Raw genomic sequence first — 18,778 nt, forward strand, 5'->3', positions numbered from 1 at the left:
TGCCTCAGCTTTCCAAAGTGCTGGGATTATTGGTGTGAGCCACCATGCCCAGCCACATTTTTCCCCCCCTTCTTTTCAGTTCAGGGGTACCTGTGCAGGATGTGCAGGTTTTATTATTTTATTTAATTAATTTTATTTATTTATTTATTTATTTATTTATTTTGAGATTGAGTCTTGCTCTGTCACCCAGACTGGAGTGCAGTGGTGCCATCTTGGCTCACTGCAACCTCCGCCTTCTGGGTTCAGGCGACTCTCCTGCCTCAGCCTCCTGGGTAGCTGGGATTACAGGTGGGTGCCACCACACCCAGCTAATTTTTGTATTTTTAGCAGAGACAGGGTTTCACCATGTTGGTCAGGCTGGTCTGGAACTCCTGACCTCATGATCTGCTGACTTCAGCCTCCCAAAGTGCTGGGATTACAGTGCAATGACATGATCTCAGCTCACTGTAACCTCTGCTTCCCAGCTTCAAGCGATTCTCCTGCCTCCGCCTCCCGAGTAGCTGGGATTACAGGCATGCACCACCATGCCCAGCTAATTTTTGTATTTTTAGTAGAGACAGGGTTTCACCATGTTGGCCAGGCTGGTGTTGAACTCCTGACCTCAAGTGATCCGCCCAGCTTGGGAGTGCTGGGATTACAGGTGTGAACCACCCCACCCGGCCAGTTTGATACTTTGATTTATAATCACTATGGTCTTGAGGACCCTGAAGCTTTTGAAATGTTCTGGTATGGGTGTAAGGAAGGCTGCTGTTTGCATAGGTTTGTTCTGAGTTTGCTTGAGAGTCGTTGCCCACTGTGTCATCCGTTTAGCCAGGCAAGTTAGTTGTCTCATAAGTTAAATTCTTACTGTATTTTCTCCTGTAGTTCATTGTGTTTTTCTGTTTCTGTATAGAAAGTGTTCATTATTTCAATTAATTGCTGACATGTAAAACAAAAAAGTGTTCATTATGATATGAGTTCTGTCACGTTTACAAATTATATATTCAGCATATCAAGGCTTCACATTTGCTACTGATAATGAGAACAAAATATTGCTTTAAAAGCACCAGGCTGGTATTGAACTCCTAGCCTCAAGGGATCCTCACAAAGTGTTCGGATTACAGGTGTGAGTCACCATGCCTGGTCCCAAATTGCTTTTTTTTTTTTTTTTTTTTTTTTTCGGAGACAGGGTCTTGCTCTCTTGCCCAGGCTGGAGTGCAGTGGCAGGATCATAGCTCACTGCAGCCTTGAATCAAGCCTTGGCTCAAAGGATCTTCCTGCCTCAGTCTTTAGAGAAGCTGGGAGTACAGGCGCATCTCACCGTGCCTAGCTAATTAAAAAACTTTTTTTTTTTTTTGGTAGAAATGGGGTCTTGTTATGTTGCCAGGGTGGGTCTCAAACTATTGGCCTCAAGCAGTCCTCCGACCTCGGCCTCCCAAAATGTTGGGATTACAGGTGTGAGGCACCACACCCAACTAGCAACAACCTTAGAAGCTAGATTACAAGCATGATTAAATCCAAAGTATATGAACATAAATCAGATTTTAAAAAGTATTTTATTTTATTTTTATTTATTTAGAGACGGAGTTTCGCTCTTGTTGCCCAGGCTGGAGTGCAATGGCACGATCTCGGCTCACTGCAACCTCCACCTCCCAAATCAAGTGATTCTCCTGCCTCAGCCTCCTGAGTAGCTGGGATTACAGGCATGTGCCACTATGCCTGGCTAATTTTGTATTTTTAGTAGAGACGGGGTAGGCTGGTCTCAAACTCCCAACCTCAGGTGATCTGCCCGCCTCTGCCTTTCAAAATGCTGGTATTACAGGCATGAGCCACCGTGGCCGGCAATATGAGATATTTTATCTTTTTTTTTGAGACGGAGTCTTGCTGTGTCGCCCAGGCTGGAGTGTAGTGGCGCGATCTTGGCTCACTGCAAGCTCCGCCTCCCAGGTTCAGGCCATTCTCCTGCCTCAGCCTCCCGAGAAGCTGGGACTACAGGCGCCTGCCACCACGCCCGGCTAATTTTTTTGTCTTTTCAGTAGAGACGGGGTTTCACCGCGTTAGCCAGGATGGTCTCGATCTCCTGACCTCGTGATCTGCCTGCCTTGGCCTCCCAAAGTGCTGGGATTACAGGCGTGAGCCACTGCGCCCAGCCCGAGATATTTTACCTTTTTTAAGTTTATGTTGTAAATGGTGAATAAAATCCAAACAAGTTTGCATATATACTTTAATACATTAAATTTATAGATTTTTGCTATAACCAAAATACCTGATTAGTATGTCATTCTAAAAAGCAATATCTTGGCCAGGAGTGGTGGCTCATGCTTGTAATCTCACCATTTAGGTAGGCCAAGTTGGGAGGATTGCTTGAGGGTAGGAGTTCGAGATCAGCCTGGCCAACTTAGCAAGACCCTGACTCTATTTTTAAAAAAATTATTGCTGCAAAAATAGTGAGAGGAAATGATTTTTAGGGGGTCTGCTCACTGTTGGTAGAGCATCTGCTGACTGGAGAGTCTCAGCATGACAGCATCTTGGTCTTGTCTATTTTAGGATTGGGTATGTAGAAAATTAATTTATTCATAATTGATTAGCCTGTTGGTATTAACTCGTAGAAAATAAATTTTAAGGAACTTAGCATCAAGCAAATGATGTAGTAGCCATCATGCATTTTTTCTTTCATTTTTTTCCCCTACTGCTTGCCACTCTCACCACACATTTTAAAGAAAGACCTGGGTTCAGATTCTGGTTGGCTGTTTTACTGCTTGACATAGGAAAATTTCATAACTTCTTAGTGATTTCCTTTTTTTCTCATCTGTAAAATAGAGAGTAGAGAAATTACTTCATTTTGTGTTATAGATATATTTTACCACCAAAAAACGGGGAGAAAAAAGACACCCATGTTGATGTGAGGATTATGACATAAGGAACAACTCATAATGGGTGTGTAGTAAATGTCAGATGGTTTGTTTTCTACCTACCCAGCAATTTGTTGATTATCCCTATGGGTGGATTACTTCTATGTATATTTATCTGTTTAGAAGGATTACTTCTATGTACATTATTTGTTGATTTTACTTTCAAAGGCAACTATATATCCGGGAATGGTGGAGTTAGATGTATCTTACTGTATTTCTGTTGGTATTGACTAAAACATCAGGTGCAGACAGCACATAAAGTTGTCTGAAGAATTCATGTTTTATGAGGAGTTTTTTAGGGAGGATTAATGGAGAAAGTGTTATTAGAATGAGTTCAAAACTGGAGTCCTGAGTGTGGATGCCACTTAATTTTCCTGAACTTTAGTTTTTCCATTTAAAAAACTCTTCTCATTATGGACTTTTTTTTATTTTTTGAGATAGAGTCTTGCTCTATCGCTCAGGCTGGAGTGCAGTGGCACAATCTTGTCTCACTGCAGCCTTCCCTGGTTCAAGCAATTCTCATGCCTCAGCCTCCCGAATAGCTGAGAGTACACGCGCATGCCACCATGCCTGGCTAATTTTTGTATTTTTAGTAGAGATGGGGTTTTGCCATGTTGGCCAGGCTGGTCTCCAACTCCTGGGCTCTCAAGTGATCCTCTTGCCTTGGCCTCCCAAAGTGCCATGATTGCAGGTGTGAGCCACTGTGCCTGGCCATTATGGACTCTTTTTTTGTTTTGTTTTGAGTTGGAGTTTCGCTTTTGTTGCCCAGGCTGGAGTGCAGTGGCGCGTGATCTCAGCTCAACGTAACCTCCACCTCCCAGGTTCAAGCGATTCTCCTGTCTCAGCCCCCTGAGTAGTTGGGAGTACAGGCATGCGCCACCATGCCTGACTAATTTTATATTTTTAGTAGAGACGGGGTTTCTCTGTATTGGTCAGGCTGGTCTCGAACTCCCTACCTCAGGTGATACGCCCACCTCTGCCTCCCAAAGTGCTGGATTACAGGTGTGAGCCACTGTGCCCACCTTACGAACTCTTAAAAAAAACAAACTTTTTATTACAGAAAACTTTCATCATGTACAAGCAGAGAAGAATACAGTATGCCTGGTGTTTCCATCACTGTGTATTAACAGTAATCTACACATGATCAACTGTGATTCATCTAGACCTCTACTCGCTAGCCCATTATTTTGAAGCACGTCAAAGAAGCCTTACCTTTTTATCTGTAAATATTTCAGTACTTACTTCTAAAAGGTCATAACATCTTTCAAACTTAAAGTGTCCAAGTGTATAAGGAACTCTCCATGCCATTTACTCAGATTCAAGAGTTGCTAACATTTTGCCCTATTGGCTTTATCATTCTATATATAATGCAAATATACATATATTATTTTCTGAACCATTTAATGGTAAGTTGGAGACTTCAGTGTATTTTTTTTTTTTTGGGATGGAGTCTAGCTCTGTTGCCCATAGTTGAATAAAAAAATTACAGAAACCCAGCACTTTGGGAGGCTGAGGCAGGATGATTACATGAGCCCAGGAATTAGATACCAGCCTGGACAGCACAGGAATACCCCATTTTAACAACAACAAAAAGAAAAGATTAGCTGGGTGTGGTGGCACACAGCTCTGGTCCCAGTTACTCAGGAGACTGAGGCAGGAGGATTGCTTGAGCCCAGGAGATTGAGGCTGCAGTGAGCTGTGTTCGTGCCACACCCTGGGTGTGTTTGCACTCCACCCTGGGTGACAAAGGGAGACCCTTTCTCTTGGGGGAAAAAAATGGATTAAGAGACCTAGAAAGTAAGTCCAGAAGCCATAAGATTTTTTTTTTTTTTGAGACAGAGTCTCGCTCTGTCACCTAGGCTTGAGTGCAGTGGCACAATCTCGGCTCACTGCAACCTCCACCTCCTGGGTTCAAGCAATTCTCCTGTCTCAGCCTCCCAAGTAACTTTGATTACATAATAATCAAATAATAATAATAATAATTTTTTGAGACAGAGTTTCGCTCTTGTTGCCTAGGCTGGAGTGCAATGGCGCGATCTCCGGCTCACTGCAACCTCCACCTCCTGGGTTCAGGCAATTCCCTGCCTCAGCCTCCCGAGCAGCTGGGATTACAGGCATGTGCTACCACACCTGGCTAATTTTGTATTTTTAGTAGAGACGGGGTTTCTCCATGTTGGTCAGGGTGGTCTCGAACTCCCAACCTCAGGTGATCTGCCCACCTCGGCCTCCCAAAGTGCTGGGATTACAGGCATGAGCCACCGCGCCTGGCTGAAAAGTGGAAATTATTAAAAAGAAAAACATTGTAAGTTGAGTTCAGTAACAATATGAAAGACCAAATGATTCTTTTTTCTTTCTTTTCTTTTTTTTTTTTTTTTTTGAGACAGTCTCACTCTGTCGCCCAGGCCGGAGTGCAGTGGTGCAATCTCAGCTCACTGCAACCTCCGCCTCGTGGGTTCAAGTGATTCGCCTGCCTCAGCCTTCTGAGTAGCTGGAACTACAGATGTGTGCCACCACGCCTGGTTAATTTTTGTATTTTTATAGAGACCGGGTTTCACCGTGTTGGCCAGGATGGTCTTGAACTTCCAACCTCAAGTGATCCACCTGCCTTGGCCTCCCAAAGTGCTCGGATTAGAGGCATGAGCCACTTTGCGTGGCCCCATCCTGTATTTTATTTTATTTATTTGGTTATGTATAATTACAGTTTTACCTACAAAGGAGGGTGAGATAGGAGAATCACTTGAGTCCAGTATTTCAGGGTTGGAATGAGCTATGATTGAGCAATTGCATTCCAGCCTGGGCAATAGAGTGACACCTGTGTCTCTTTAAAAAAAAATAAATTATAAACAAGATGAATAACTTCCTGACAAATAAAAAGAAAATTTAGGGCCAGGCGCAGTGGCTCATGCCTCTAATCCCAGCACTTTGGGAGGCCGAGGTGGATGGATCACTGGAGGTCAGGAGTTCGGCCTGACCAACGTGGTGAAACCCTTTGTCTACTAAGAATGCAAAATTAACTGGGCATGGCAGCACATGCCTGTAATTCCAGCTGCTTGGGAGGCTGAGGCAGAATTGCTTGAACCCGGAAGGTGGAGGTTGTAGTGAGCTGAGACTGTACCATTGCACTCCAGCCCGGACAACAGGAGTGAAACTCCATCTCAAAAGAAAAAAAAAAAAAAGAAAATTTAGGCCAGGGGCAGTGGCTTACGCCTGTAATCCAAGCACTTTTGGAGGCCAAGGTAGGAGGACCACTTGAGTCCAGGAGTTGGAGACTAGCCTGGGCAACACAGCGAGACCTCATATCTAAAAGTGAAAAAAAAAAAAAAGGAAATTTCAAGAAACCGGTACAAAGAAGGAAGGAAAACACACACACACACACACACACACACACACACACACAAACACACAAAGGAAGGAAAAACACACACACACAAGGAAGGAAAACACACACACACACACACACACACACACACACACACACACACACACACACACACACACATCGTTGGCTGGGCACTGTGGCTCCCAGCGCTTTGGCTTCCAGCACTTTGGGGGCCCGAGACGGGTAGATCACTTGAGGCCAGGACCAGCATGGCAAAAACCCATCTCTAGGAAAAATACAAAAATTGGCTGGGCATGGTGGCTAACGCCTGTAATCCCAGCACTTTGGGAGGCTGAGGTGGGTGGATCATGAGGTCAGAAGATCGAGACCATCCTGGCCAACATGGTGAAACCCCGTATCTACTAAAAATACAAAAATTAGCTGGGTATGGTGGCATGTGCCTATAGTCCCAGCTACTCAGGAGGCTGAGGCAAGAGAATCGCTTGAACCCGGGAGGTGGAGGTTGCAGTGAGCTGAGATCGTGCCACTGCACTCCAGCCTGGTGACAGAGTGAGACTCCATCTCAAAAAAAATAAAAATGCAAAAATTAGTCAGGTGTGGTGGCAGGCACCTGTAATCCTAGCTACTCAGGAGGCTGAGGCAGGAGAATACCTTGAACCCAGGAGGCGGAGGTTGCAGTGAGCCAAGATCGTGTCACTGCACTCCAGCCTGGGTGACACAGTGAGACTCTGTCTCAAAAAAAAAAGTAAAATAAAAAATAAAACGTTAGTACAGATCGCTGGAGGTTGAGGCTGCAGTAAGCCATGATTGCGCCACTGCACTCCAGCCCGTGTGACAGAACAAGACCCTGCCTCCCAAAATATAAGTTGACATTTGAATGAGCAAACATTTAAAAGATACAAAAATGTATTCAGTGTAAAAACTCCCTATATCAGGACCCCCCAAAACCCAGTTCTCCCCGACAAGTCATTATTATTACTAGCTTCTGGTGTCTTTTCCAGTGAGAATTCTTGTGTATGAAATAAAATACATACAAAAATGTATACACACGTTCTTTCCTTTGCAATATTTTTTTTCAAAAATGGTAGCAGAATGTTTTCTGTTTTTTTCTCTCGATTTTCCCTTCTTTTATTTATTCATTTATTTGTTTGTTTTTTTGAGACAGTCTGACTCTTGTCACCCAGGCTGGAGTGTAGTGGCACAGTCTCAGCTCACTGAAACCGCTGCCTTGAGGTAGGGATTCAAGTGATTCTCCTGCTTCAGCCACCCGAGTAGCTGGGATCACAGGCGTGCCCCACCACACCCAGCTAATTTTTGCATTTTTTGTAGAGATGGGTTTTTGCTGTGTTGGCCAGATTGGTCTTGAACTCCTGGCCTCAAGTGATCTGCCCACCTTGGCCTCCTAAGGTGCTGGGGTTCCAGGTGTCCCTGGTGTACTAACCTAATGTTTTTTATGCTTGCAAATTATATTAATTATCTTATGAATCACTGCAACAGAAATGCCTATGTAAATTAAAATGTAAAACTATTTACATTTTCTGAGTTCATAAGGCTCAGAGTCTTAACATTTTTCCTTGGATTTTTATAATAATAGTATACATTGTAAAATTTTTGATAATTAGTAAAACTAAAAGTGTGACATTTTCATAGGAAATCTTAAGCTTAGTGGGGCTTCCTCTCACTCCAATTAGCTTAATGAATCCTTGAAATAATATACCTCATTGCTAGAATGAGACAGGTTTAGCTTTCATTCTGTTCCTCATGTTTGATTTATATACATGTAGATTCTAACAAAATTTTTACATGTAAGTAAGTAGATCAGAATGGTGGAGTTTTACTATGTATTCATTTACCAAATGTATTTTGAGCTCCTGCTGTGTACTGGACATTCTACTAAGTACTGGTGATGAGTGGTGAACAAAGCTACCGAAATCTCTGCCCTTAGAGCTTATAAAGGTGTCAGTTCTTTGTTCTTCTCAACTGTGTTTGAAAAAGCATATAGCAGTCATTGACAATAAAGGATTTTTAATGATTTAGCAGCTGACAATTCAATTAGGTCTTCTTTCAGTTTTGCTAGAAGCAGATAATTTGAAACCAGCAGACATGGAAGAGATTTAGGTTTTTTAACAAGTCATTAGGGCCCTTTGCATTCTCATTTTCTGAGAAGCAAAGTAAAAAGGTTTTACTGAGACCTAACAAAAGATTATTAATTATACTTCTTACTATTCACCTATCCCTATAGGTGTATCAATTAGTGTTTTACCCGAGAAAGAGAACCAGATGGAGATTATGTATGTGTATAAATATACAGACACATATGTATGCATGTATACACATGTATGTATTATACATATATATATATGCTATATAAAATTTTCAACAGGTTTATATACATATAAAGAGATTTTTTTTGCAAGGAACTGGTTTACATAATTGCTGGGGCTGGCTAGGCAAGTCTGAAATCCACAGGGAGGCTGTCTGTTAGGTGGACATTTCTTCTTCAGGGAAGCCTTAGTTTTGCACTTAGGGCCTTTTACTGATTGGATGAGGCCCACCCTGATTGTGGAGGCCAATCTTCTTAACTTCGAGTCAGCTGATGTTACTCATATCTACAAAATATTTTCATAACAATATCTAAATTAGATTTTGATTGAATGACTAGGTACTATAGTTTAGATAGTTTGACACATAAAACCATCATCGGCACCTTATTTCAACCAGTATACTCAAAGGTTTGGGAAAGTTGAAGTAATGAAGTAATGTTCATTAAAATATACGTTTGTGTTTTAAATTTATGTCCGGTAAATGTTTAACTCTTAGATCATGTACATACTTAAATATGTATTTAAATACATGATGCAAATTTTAATATAATTATAAACTATTTAAATATATTTTCATCTAATTCTTGGAACTGTGGATTTAATTTGTTCAGTTGTGGAAAATTATCACCAGTAACCTTAATGGCAAAGCCAGTCTTCCCTGACAAACCAGGCAGCTAAATAAATAACACTGATTTTCTGCCAGAAAGTCTGACTCCTTTTTTCCAATTTTAATAAATGAGTACTGTACATCTGTAAGGTAACCACCTCTTTTTGGATTTTTGTTTTTTTGAGAGAGAGTTTTGCTCTTTCACCCAGGCTGGCGTGCAGTGGTGCCATCTCGGCTTACTGCAACCTCTGCCTTCCAGGTTCAAGCGATTCTCCTGCCTCAGCTTCTGGAGTAGTTGGGATTACAGATATGTGCCACCATGCCCGGCTAATTTTTGTATTTTCAGTAGAGACAAGTTTCACCATGTTGCCCAGGCTGAAGTATGTATAGGACACAAAACCCTACTGTGAAACTTTTTGATATCTGGGTTAGAGGCTTCTCAGAGACCTGTATTGTATTTCTCTTTTGTCACCAATGGTCCCTTTGTTTGGTATCCTGGAGGTTTTTACTCCCCATGTTTCACCCAAGTTCTGCAGTAAGATTTAGGGTGGTTGAGAGGAGATGCCTGTATATAAGACAAGGGCAGTTGTGAGAAGTGGAGATGAGGAGAGATCAGTCTGATGCCTTGAGCTTGTGCTAGTTCTCAGGCAGATCAGTAGGAGCATGTGGGTGTTGATCTTAAACCTATGTTTCTGTGTACCCCTTAGAATGTCTTCTTATACACCCAAGAGACAGGTTCTTCTTTTGGAGACTTTGGGTACACTATAGCCCTTTTCCTGCGTGCTGTGGTTTGGATGTTGTGCCCTCCAAACTCATGTTGAGATTTGATCCCTGGTGTTGGAGGTGGGGCATAATGGGAGATGGTTGGGTCATGGGAGTAGATTCCTCTTGAATGGATTAAATTAATGCCCTCCCTGGAGTAGACGTGACTTCTCACTTTGTTAGTTCCCTAGAGAGCTGGTTTTTAAAAAGAACCAGCACACCTCCAACCTTGCTTCCTTTCTTGCCATGTGATCGCTGCATACTGGTTCCCCTTCACCTTCTGCCATGACTGAAAGCAGCCTGATTCCTTCATCAGATGCAGATGCCCAGTCATAAACTTTACAGCCATTAGAATTGTGAGCCAAATAAACCTTTTTGCTTTGTAGATTACCCAGCCTCAAGTATTCTTTTATAGCAACCCAAAATGGACTGAGAAACTGGGCTTGCTTTTTTTCATGTTTGCTTTTTTTTTTTTTTTTTTTGTGAGGTGGAGTCTCGCTCGCTCTGTCACCCAGGCTGGAGTGCAATGGTGCGATCTCGGCTCACTGCAACCTCCGCCTCCTGAGTTGAAGCACTTCTCCCACCTCAGCCTCCTGAGTAGCTGGGACTACAGGTGTGCACCACCATGCCTGGCTAATTTTTGTATTCTTAGTAGAGGCAGGGTTTCACCACATTGGCCCGACTGCTCTCGAATTCCTGACCTCAAGTGATCTGCCCGCCTGTTTGCTTTTTTTAAAACTGTGTTCCAGTTTTCATGACTGTGTGTTATTCCACACTTTGAGGTACTGTAATTTGACCACTGTGTACTGGTAGAGGATTAGGGTATTTTTCATCGTTTGCTACTGAGCAGTCTGCAGAACATAGCCATGATTGCTTTGTGACAAGGATATGTTCTGAGAGATGCGTCATTAGGTGATTTTGTCTTTGTGTGGACATCATAGAGTGTACTTACACAAACCTAGATGGTATAGCCTATTACACACCTAGGCTATGTGGTATAGCCTATTTGTACTTAGGGTACAAATCTGTACACATGTTATTGTATTGAATACTGTATGCAGGTGTTACCCAATTTTGGGTATTTGTTTATCTAAACATATTTAAACATAGAACAAGTACAGTAAAAATGCAGTAGAAAGGATAAAAAGTGATACACCTGTGTAGGGCACTTACCATGAATGGAGATTCCAGGCCTTGAAGTGAGTCAGTGAGTGAGTGGTGGTAGAATGTGAAGGCCTAGTACATACTGTACACCACTGTAGACTTACTAAACACTGTACACTTAGGCAACACTAAATTTATGGAAACGTTTTCCTTCAATAATGAATTAACCCAATTTATTATAACTTTTTAACTTCATAAACCTTTTAATTTTGTTTAGCTTTTTGACTCTTGTAATAACAACTTAAAACACAAACACATTGAATGGCTATACAAAAATATTTTCTTTCATCATATATCCTTATTCTATAAGCTTTTTTTCTTTTTATTTTATTTATTTTTTATTTTTATTTTTTTGAAACGGAGTTTCGCTCAGTGGCCCAGGCTGGAGTGCAGTGGTGCGATCTCAGCTCACTGCAATCTCCGCCTTCCAGGTTCAAGCAATTCTCCTGCCTCAGCCTCCCGAGTAGCTGAGATGACAGGTGCACACCACCACGCCCAGCTAATTTTTGTATTTTTAGTAGAGACGGAGTTTCACCATGTTGGCCAGGATGGTCTCTATCTCCTGACTTCGGGATCTGCCCACCTTGACCTCCCAAAGTGTTGGGATTACAGGCGTGAGCCACCGTGCCTGGCCTTAAGCTTTTTTCCTATTAAGAAAAATTCATTTGGCCAGGTGTAGTGGCTCACGCCTGTAATCCCAGCACTTTGGGGGGCTGAGGCTGGCAGATTGCTTGAGCCCAGGAGTTGGAGACCAGTCTGGGCAACATGGTGAAACTCCGTTTCTACAAAAAATATAAAAATTAGCCGGGTTTGGTGGTAAACACCTGTAGTCCCAGCTAAGGGAGGCTGAGGCAGGAGGATTGGTTGAGCCCAGTAGGCAGAGGTTGCAGTGAGCTGAGATCATGCCTCTGCACTCTAGCCTGGGAGACAGAGTGAGACTCTATCTCAAAAACAAAACAAAACAAAACAAAAAACCAATTCATTTATGGCTGGGCATAGTAGATCATACCTGTAATCCCAGCACTTTGGGAGGCTGAGATGGGAGGATCACTTGAGCTCAGGAGTTTAAGACCAGCTTGAGCAACATAACAAGACTCCGTCTCTACAAAATATTTAAAAATTAGCCGGGTGTGGTGGCATGCACGTGTGGTCCCAGCTACTCGGGAGGTTTAGACAGGAGTATTGCTTGAGCCTGGGAGATTGAGGCTGCAGTGAGCTGTGTTTGCACCAGTGCACACAAGCCTGGTGTACAGATGGAGACCCTGTCTCAAAAAAATTCATTTTCACTTTTTAAACTTTTTTTATTAACAATGAAAACATAAACATATATATTAGCTTAGGCCTACACAGGGTCAGGATCATCAATATCACTGTCTTCTCAGTCCACATCTTGTCCCACTGGAAGGTCTTCAGGAACAGTAACACACACGGAGCTATCATCTTTGATAACAATTCCTTCTTTTGGAATACCTTCCGAAGGACCTGTCTGGGGCTGTTTTACAGTTAACCTTTTTTCCTTAATGAGTAGAAAGAATACACTCTAAGACAACAATAGGCCAGGTGCGGTGGCTCACGCCTGTAATCCCACCACTTGGGGAGGCTGAGGTGGGGGGATCAGTTGAGGTCAGGAGTTCGAGACCAGCCTGACCAATATGGTGAAACACTGTCTCTACTAAAAAATAACAAAAGTTAGCTGGGTGTGGTGGCATGGGCCTGTAATCGCAGCTACTTGGGAGACTGAGGCAGGAGAATCGCTTGAACCCAGGAGGTGGTGGTTGCAGTGAGCCGAGATCATGTCACTGCACTCCAGCCTTGGCAACAGAGCAAGGCTCTGTCTCAAAAAAAAAAAATTAAATAGAATTAAAACAACAATAAAACATATAGTATATTGGCCAGGTGCAGTGGCTCACACCTGTAATCTCAGCCCTTTGGGAGGCCGAGGTGGGCGGATCACTTGAGGTTAGGACATTGAGACCAGCCTGACCAACATCGTGCTACTGCACTCCAGCCTGGGTGACAGAGCGAGACTCTGTGTCAAAACAAAAAAAAGTATAGTATAATAAATACATAAATCAGTAACATAGTCATTATCTATGTCAAGTGTTAGTACTGTACATAATTCTATGTGCTATACATTTATTTGATGGGCAGTACAGTAGGTTTGTTTATACCAGTATCATCACAGACATGTGAGTAATGCTTTGTGCCATGATATTACCGCTATAGTGTCACTGGGCAGTTGGAGTTTTTCAGCTTCATTATAACCTTAAGGGACCGTTGTTCATATGTGTGGTTTGCTGTTGACTTAAATGTTATGTGGTGTGTGACTATATATGTCATTTAGTACTCGGAGGACTATGGCATCTATCTTTATTTATTTATTGATATGGAGTCTTTATTTATTTACTGAGACGGAGTTTTGCTCTGTACACTACAATGGAACCTGTGAATAGCCACTGCATTTCAGCAGCCTGGGCAACATAGCAAGACCCCATCTCTATAAAAAATAAATGGTTATATGCATTGTGATTTTGACAGATATTACCAAATTAATTGCTTCAGATATTCTTCCAATTTACACCTACCAGCAATGAATGAGTGCCCATTCCCTTCCATTTTTACCAGTATAGGATTAAGTTTTTTTTTTTTTTTTTTTTTGAGACGTCTTCTTTTGTCACCCAGGCTAGAGTGCAGTGGTGTGATCTCAGCTCACTGCAACTTCCCCCTGTCAGGTTCAAGCGATTCTTCTGCCTCAGCCTCACAAGTAGCTGGGATTACAGGCGCACACCACCATGCCTGGCTAATTTTTGTATTTTTAGTAGAGGTGGGATTTCACTATGTTGGCCAGGCTGGTCTTGAACTCCTGACTTCAGATGATCCACCTGCCTTGGCCTCCCAAAGTGCTAGGAGGGAGCCATGCGCCAGGCCCCTTTTTTTTTTTTTTTTTTTTTAAAAGACAGTCCCTAGGCTGGAGTGCAGTGGCATGATCTGAGCTCATAGCAACCTCTGCCTCCCGGGCTCAAGCAATTCTTATGCCTCAGCCTTCTGAGTAGCTGGAATTACAGGTGTGCACCACCATGCCCGGCTAATTTTTTGTGTTTTTAGTAGAGACAGGGTTTCACCATGTTGGCCAGGCTGGTCTCAAACTCCTGACCTCAGGTGATCCACCCAACTCGGACTCCCAAAGTGCCGGGATTACAGGTGGGAGCCACTGCACCAGGCCTAGGATTAAATTTTTTAATCTTTACTAATCTTACAGATTAAAAATGGTGCCTTGGTGGGATTGTATCTTAAATTTCTTATGACTGAAGTGGAACATCTTTTTATATATATATATAAATATATATATACACACATATATAAATATACATATATACATATATAAATATACATATATATATATATATATATATATTTTTTTTTTTTTTTTGAGACAGAGTCTCACTCTGTTGCCCAGGCTGGAGTCCAGTGGCGCGATCTCAGCTCACTGTAAGCTACACCTCCTGGGTTCACGCCATTCTCCCGCCTCAGCCTCCCAAGTAGCTGGGACTACAAGAGCCTGCCACTACGCCTGGCTAATTATTTATTTATTTATTTATTTATTCATTTATTTATTTTTTAGTAGAGATGGGGTTTCACCGTGTTAACCAGGATGGTCTTGATCTCCTGACCTCATGATCTGCCTGCCTCGGCCTCCCAAAGTGCTGGGATTACAGGTGTGAGCCACCACACTGGGCCATAGTTATCTATTCTTATTCAAAACCAAGGTAGTAAGGCTAAACAGGAGCTTCATTTTTTTTTTTTTTTTTTTTTGAGACAGAGTCCCGCTCTGTCACCCAGGCTGGAGTCCAGTGACGCGATCTCAGCTCACTGCAAGCTCCACTTCCCAGGTTCACGCCATTCTCCTGCCTCAGCCTCCCGAGTAGCTGGGACTACAGGTGCCTGCCACCATGCCCGGCTAATTTTTTTGTGTTTTTAGTAGAGATGGGGTTTCACCGTGTTAGCCAGGATGGTCTCAATCTCCTGACCTCGTGATCTGCCTGCCTCGGCCTCCCAAAGTGCTGGGATTACAGACGTGAGCCACTGTGCCCGGCATGTTTTTATATTTTTAAAAGGCCACATGTGTGTCCTTTTCTGTGAACTGTTTATATTCTTTGCCTATTTTGAGTTTAACTTTTGCTAAATTAATTTGTAGGGGGAAAATAATAAAAGAAACCTTTAGTTACTCCAATAAAGGAAGTAAAGCAGATATTCCTAATTGTAAACTGACGTGTTTAACCTTACATTTTTCCGTGACTTCTTCTCCTATTAGAACAAGGAAATACATTTTACTTAGCTTTTCTTCTTTCCTTGTCCTCTACCTTCCCATGTTTAAGTAAACGGTATTTGGGTATATATATATTTTTTCAGATCACATAGGACTGGAAAAAATTTTAAAAATTATTATTGTAACTTTTTACTTAGTAACTTATGACTTAGTAATAAGTTACAATAATGATTTAACAATAATAGTAGGAGCTAACACATAATACCAGACACTCTAAATGCTTTTACATGTAAGTCCATTTTATTCTACATGTAAGTTAAGTCCATCTTACATTATATATGTCCCCATCTAAGTTTCTGAAAGCATTTGTCTGTGATTCATTCTGCCCAGTTTTTGAAATCTTAATACTTCCGAGAGAAATACTAAAGAGAGAAGGGAAAATAAAAGAACAATAAAAGGTCATCCTGGCATTTGAAAAACTTTTTCTTATTTCTAATTTTGTACTTCAGTCACAAAGTTTATTAGGAATAAAGCTAAACATAGTTGATTTTTAAGATGTGTGTTGTATTTTCTTATAACATTTTACATTTTGAGAACATAGCCCATGGCTTTTTGTTTCTTAGTCTATGAAGTGTGTAGGCACATAGACCTCAGTCAGCCTGCTACTCTCCTTTTGCAGCCAGGGCCCAACCAAGATACTGAGTCCTTACTCTGCCCTTGGGCCCACTTGGTCCTTTCTAGCCAGCTGTTACCCCTTGATTGGAGTTGGCATAAAATCTATTTTTTATCACAGCATTAAAGTAATCAACTTTCATTTAAAAGGACATTTTTCTCTTGCTATTTTATGGAGTTTTTATTTTTGTAAGTGACATTTTGTAATTGGCAGTTATGGCAAGTTTGTGTCTCATTAACCAGATTATTATCAACTGTAAATATTATAAAGGTTTATTATTTGACAAGTTAATTATGTTTTATGATATACATTTTCTTATTGATCTGGTCTTCTGAATGTTAATGGTTTATATTTTTTGTGAACAAAGCAAGTACTGTATTAATACTTTAAAATTGATGTCACATTGCTTATTGATCATTAAATGAGGCATTCCAGCAATTAGATATTCTTAAGCTTTTTAGAAAGCCTTGTGTTAGCTTTACTTCTGTCATTGTGTGGCTTAATTTGTGGTCTGGAAGAATACAGGCTCATGTTGTATATTTTCATGTGACTAGTTGATTGAAAATCCTTAATTTTTTTTTTGCTGTCTGTGGACTTACAGAATGAAAATCATTTTTATACTTGAAGTAGCTAATCTAAAATTTTCCACAAGTTATCTTTTTTTTTTGGAGACAGAGTCTCGCTCTGTCGCCCAGGCTGGAGTGCAGTGGTGCGATCTTGGCTCACTGCAACCTCTGCCTCCCGGGTTCAAGCAATTCTCCTCCCTCAGCCTCCTGAGTAGCTGGGACAACAGGAGCAAACTGCATTGCCCGGTGAATAATTTTTTTTTTGTATTTTAGTAGAGACGGGGTTTCACCTTGTTGTCCAGGCGGGTTTCGAAATCCTGAGCTCAGGCAATCCGCCCACCTCGGCCTACCAAAGAATTGGGATTAGAGGCATGAGCCACTACACCTGGCCATCTTTTTAAAAAATTATTATTATTATTATTTTTGTAGAAATGGGGTCTCACCGTGTTGCCCAGGCTGGTCTCAAAGTACTGGTTTCATGTGATCCTACTGCCTAATCCTCCCAAGGTGTTGGGATTACAGGAGTGAGCCACTGCACCTGGCCGACAAGTTATCTTTTTTTTTTTTTTTTTTTTCTGTTTTTGAGATGGAGTCTTGCTGTGTTGGCCAGGCTGGAGTGCAGTGGCATGATCTCGGCTCACTGCAACCCCCACCTCCTGGGTTCAAGCAATTCTCCTGCCTCAGCCTCCTGAGTTACTGGGATTACAGGCGTGCACTACCACGCCCAGCTAATTTTTGTATTTTTAGTAGAGATGGGGTTTCACCATGTTGGCCAGGCTGGTCTCAAACTCCTGACCTTGTGATCTGCCCGCCTCAGCCTCCCAAAGTGCTGGGATTACAGGTGTGAGCCACCTCACCCACCTGTTTTTTTTTTTTTTGAGATGGGGTCTTGCTCTGTTGCCCAGGCTGGAGTGCAGTGGCACCATCTCAGCTTACTGCAACCTCTGCCTCCCAGGCTCAACTGATCCTCCTGCTTCAGCCTCCTGAGTAGCTGGGACTACAGTTGTGTGTCATCGTGTCTGGTTAATTTTTGTATCCTTTTGTAGAGACAGGGTTTTGCCACGTTGCCCAGGCTGGTCTTGAACTCCTGGGGTGAAGCGATCTGCCCACTTTAGCCTCCCAAAGTGTTAGGATTACAGGCATGAGCCACTGCGCCTGGCCAAGTTATCTTTTTAAAACAAATCTTTTTATTGAAGTATAGTGTACATTCACTGAATTCCGGATCTTTTTGCTACTATTTTTATTTCTTTTCTTTTCTTTTTGTTTTTTTGAGACAGAATCTTGCTCTGTTGCCCAGGCCGGAGTGCAGTGGCATGATCTTGGCTCACTGCAACCTCCACCTTCTGGGTTCAAGTGATTCTCCTGCCTCAGCCTCCTGAGTAGCTGGGACTATTGCCACCACACCCAGCTAATTTTTTGTATTTTTAGTAGAGATGGGGTTTCACTGTGTTAGTCAGGATGGTCTGTATCTCCTGACCTCGTGATCCACCCGCCTCGGCCTCCCAAAGTGCTGGGATTACAGGCGTGAGCCACCGCGCCTGGCCTTCACTACTTCTATTTCTAAATAGTGCTTTTACCTTAATATAGTGCCTCTATATTTAGGTAGTCCAAAGTATTTTTCATTTAGCATTCCAAATCACGGAATTTTAGACCTGTAAGGACCTTATACATAATCTGTTTAAACCCTCTGTATTTTTTGGTTGAGTCCTTGGTTAGGTCTAAGGTCACCTAACTGGATTAGTATCCTGTCCTCTAAATGCTTCTTTTGTATGTTTTATTTATCTCCTTAAAATTTATTTTGGATAAGATAAATATACTGCATTTTGTTATATGTTTGTATAATTTGGCATTATGGGGCAGATAAATTAACGTTGTTGAGCCTTAATTCATCTTTACAAGGGACTCATTAATACTTTCTACCTTATTACCCTTCCTGTGTTGAGGGTTTTTGTAGCGATTAAATGAATAAAAGCCCCTACAAATCATAAGACATGCAGAAAACAGTAGCTTTGACTGGGCCCCCTGGAGGACTTTCACATTAACACAGAAGCCTTGACATACATGGGAAGTGGGTACCACTGGAGGCTTTTCTAGAGTTGTGCTAGTGGCATGCATTTTCAGTTGTCCCTTCCAGCCAGGAAGTTGGAAAATGGTCATCTGAAGCCTTAGTTCACTCTGCCCCTT

General features: G+C 42.0%; 1 protein-coding gene and 1 long non-coding RNA gene across 10 annotated transcripts in view; one reads left to right on the forward strand and one right to left on the reverse strand.

Annotated features, from left to right (window-relative positions):
- The window catches only part of MTA3 (metastasis associated 1 family member 3), a 262,837-nt gene that overhangs the window by 86,117 nt on the left and 157,942 nt on the right, over positions 1–18,778 (forward strand). The gene's annotated exons all lie outside the window — the stretch shown is intronic.
- LOC105374555 (uncharacterized) overlaps positions 2,708–18,778 on the reverse strand; it is a 36,950-nt gene continuing 20,879 nt past the window's right edge. The window contains exon 3 of one of the 4 annotated variants that reach the window (XR_001739432.2): positions 2,708–2,788. This is a non-coding gene — a long non-coding RNA (uncharacterized LOC105374555). Of the gene's footprint in view, positions 2,789–8,766; positions 8,841–15,696; positions 15,778–18,778 lie in introns of those variants that run through there. The other 3 variants (XR_001739429.3, XR_001739430.2, XR_001739431.2) reach the window with 3 other exon arrangements.

This window comes from Homo sapiens, chromosome 2 (assembly GCF_000001405.40).
Source record: "Homo sapiens chromosome 2, GRCh38.p14 Primary Assembly".
Classification (NCBI taxonomy): domain Eukaryota; kingdom Metazoa; phylum Chordata; class Mammalia; order Primates; family Hominidae; genus Homo; species Homo sapiens.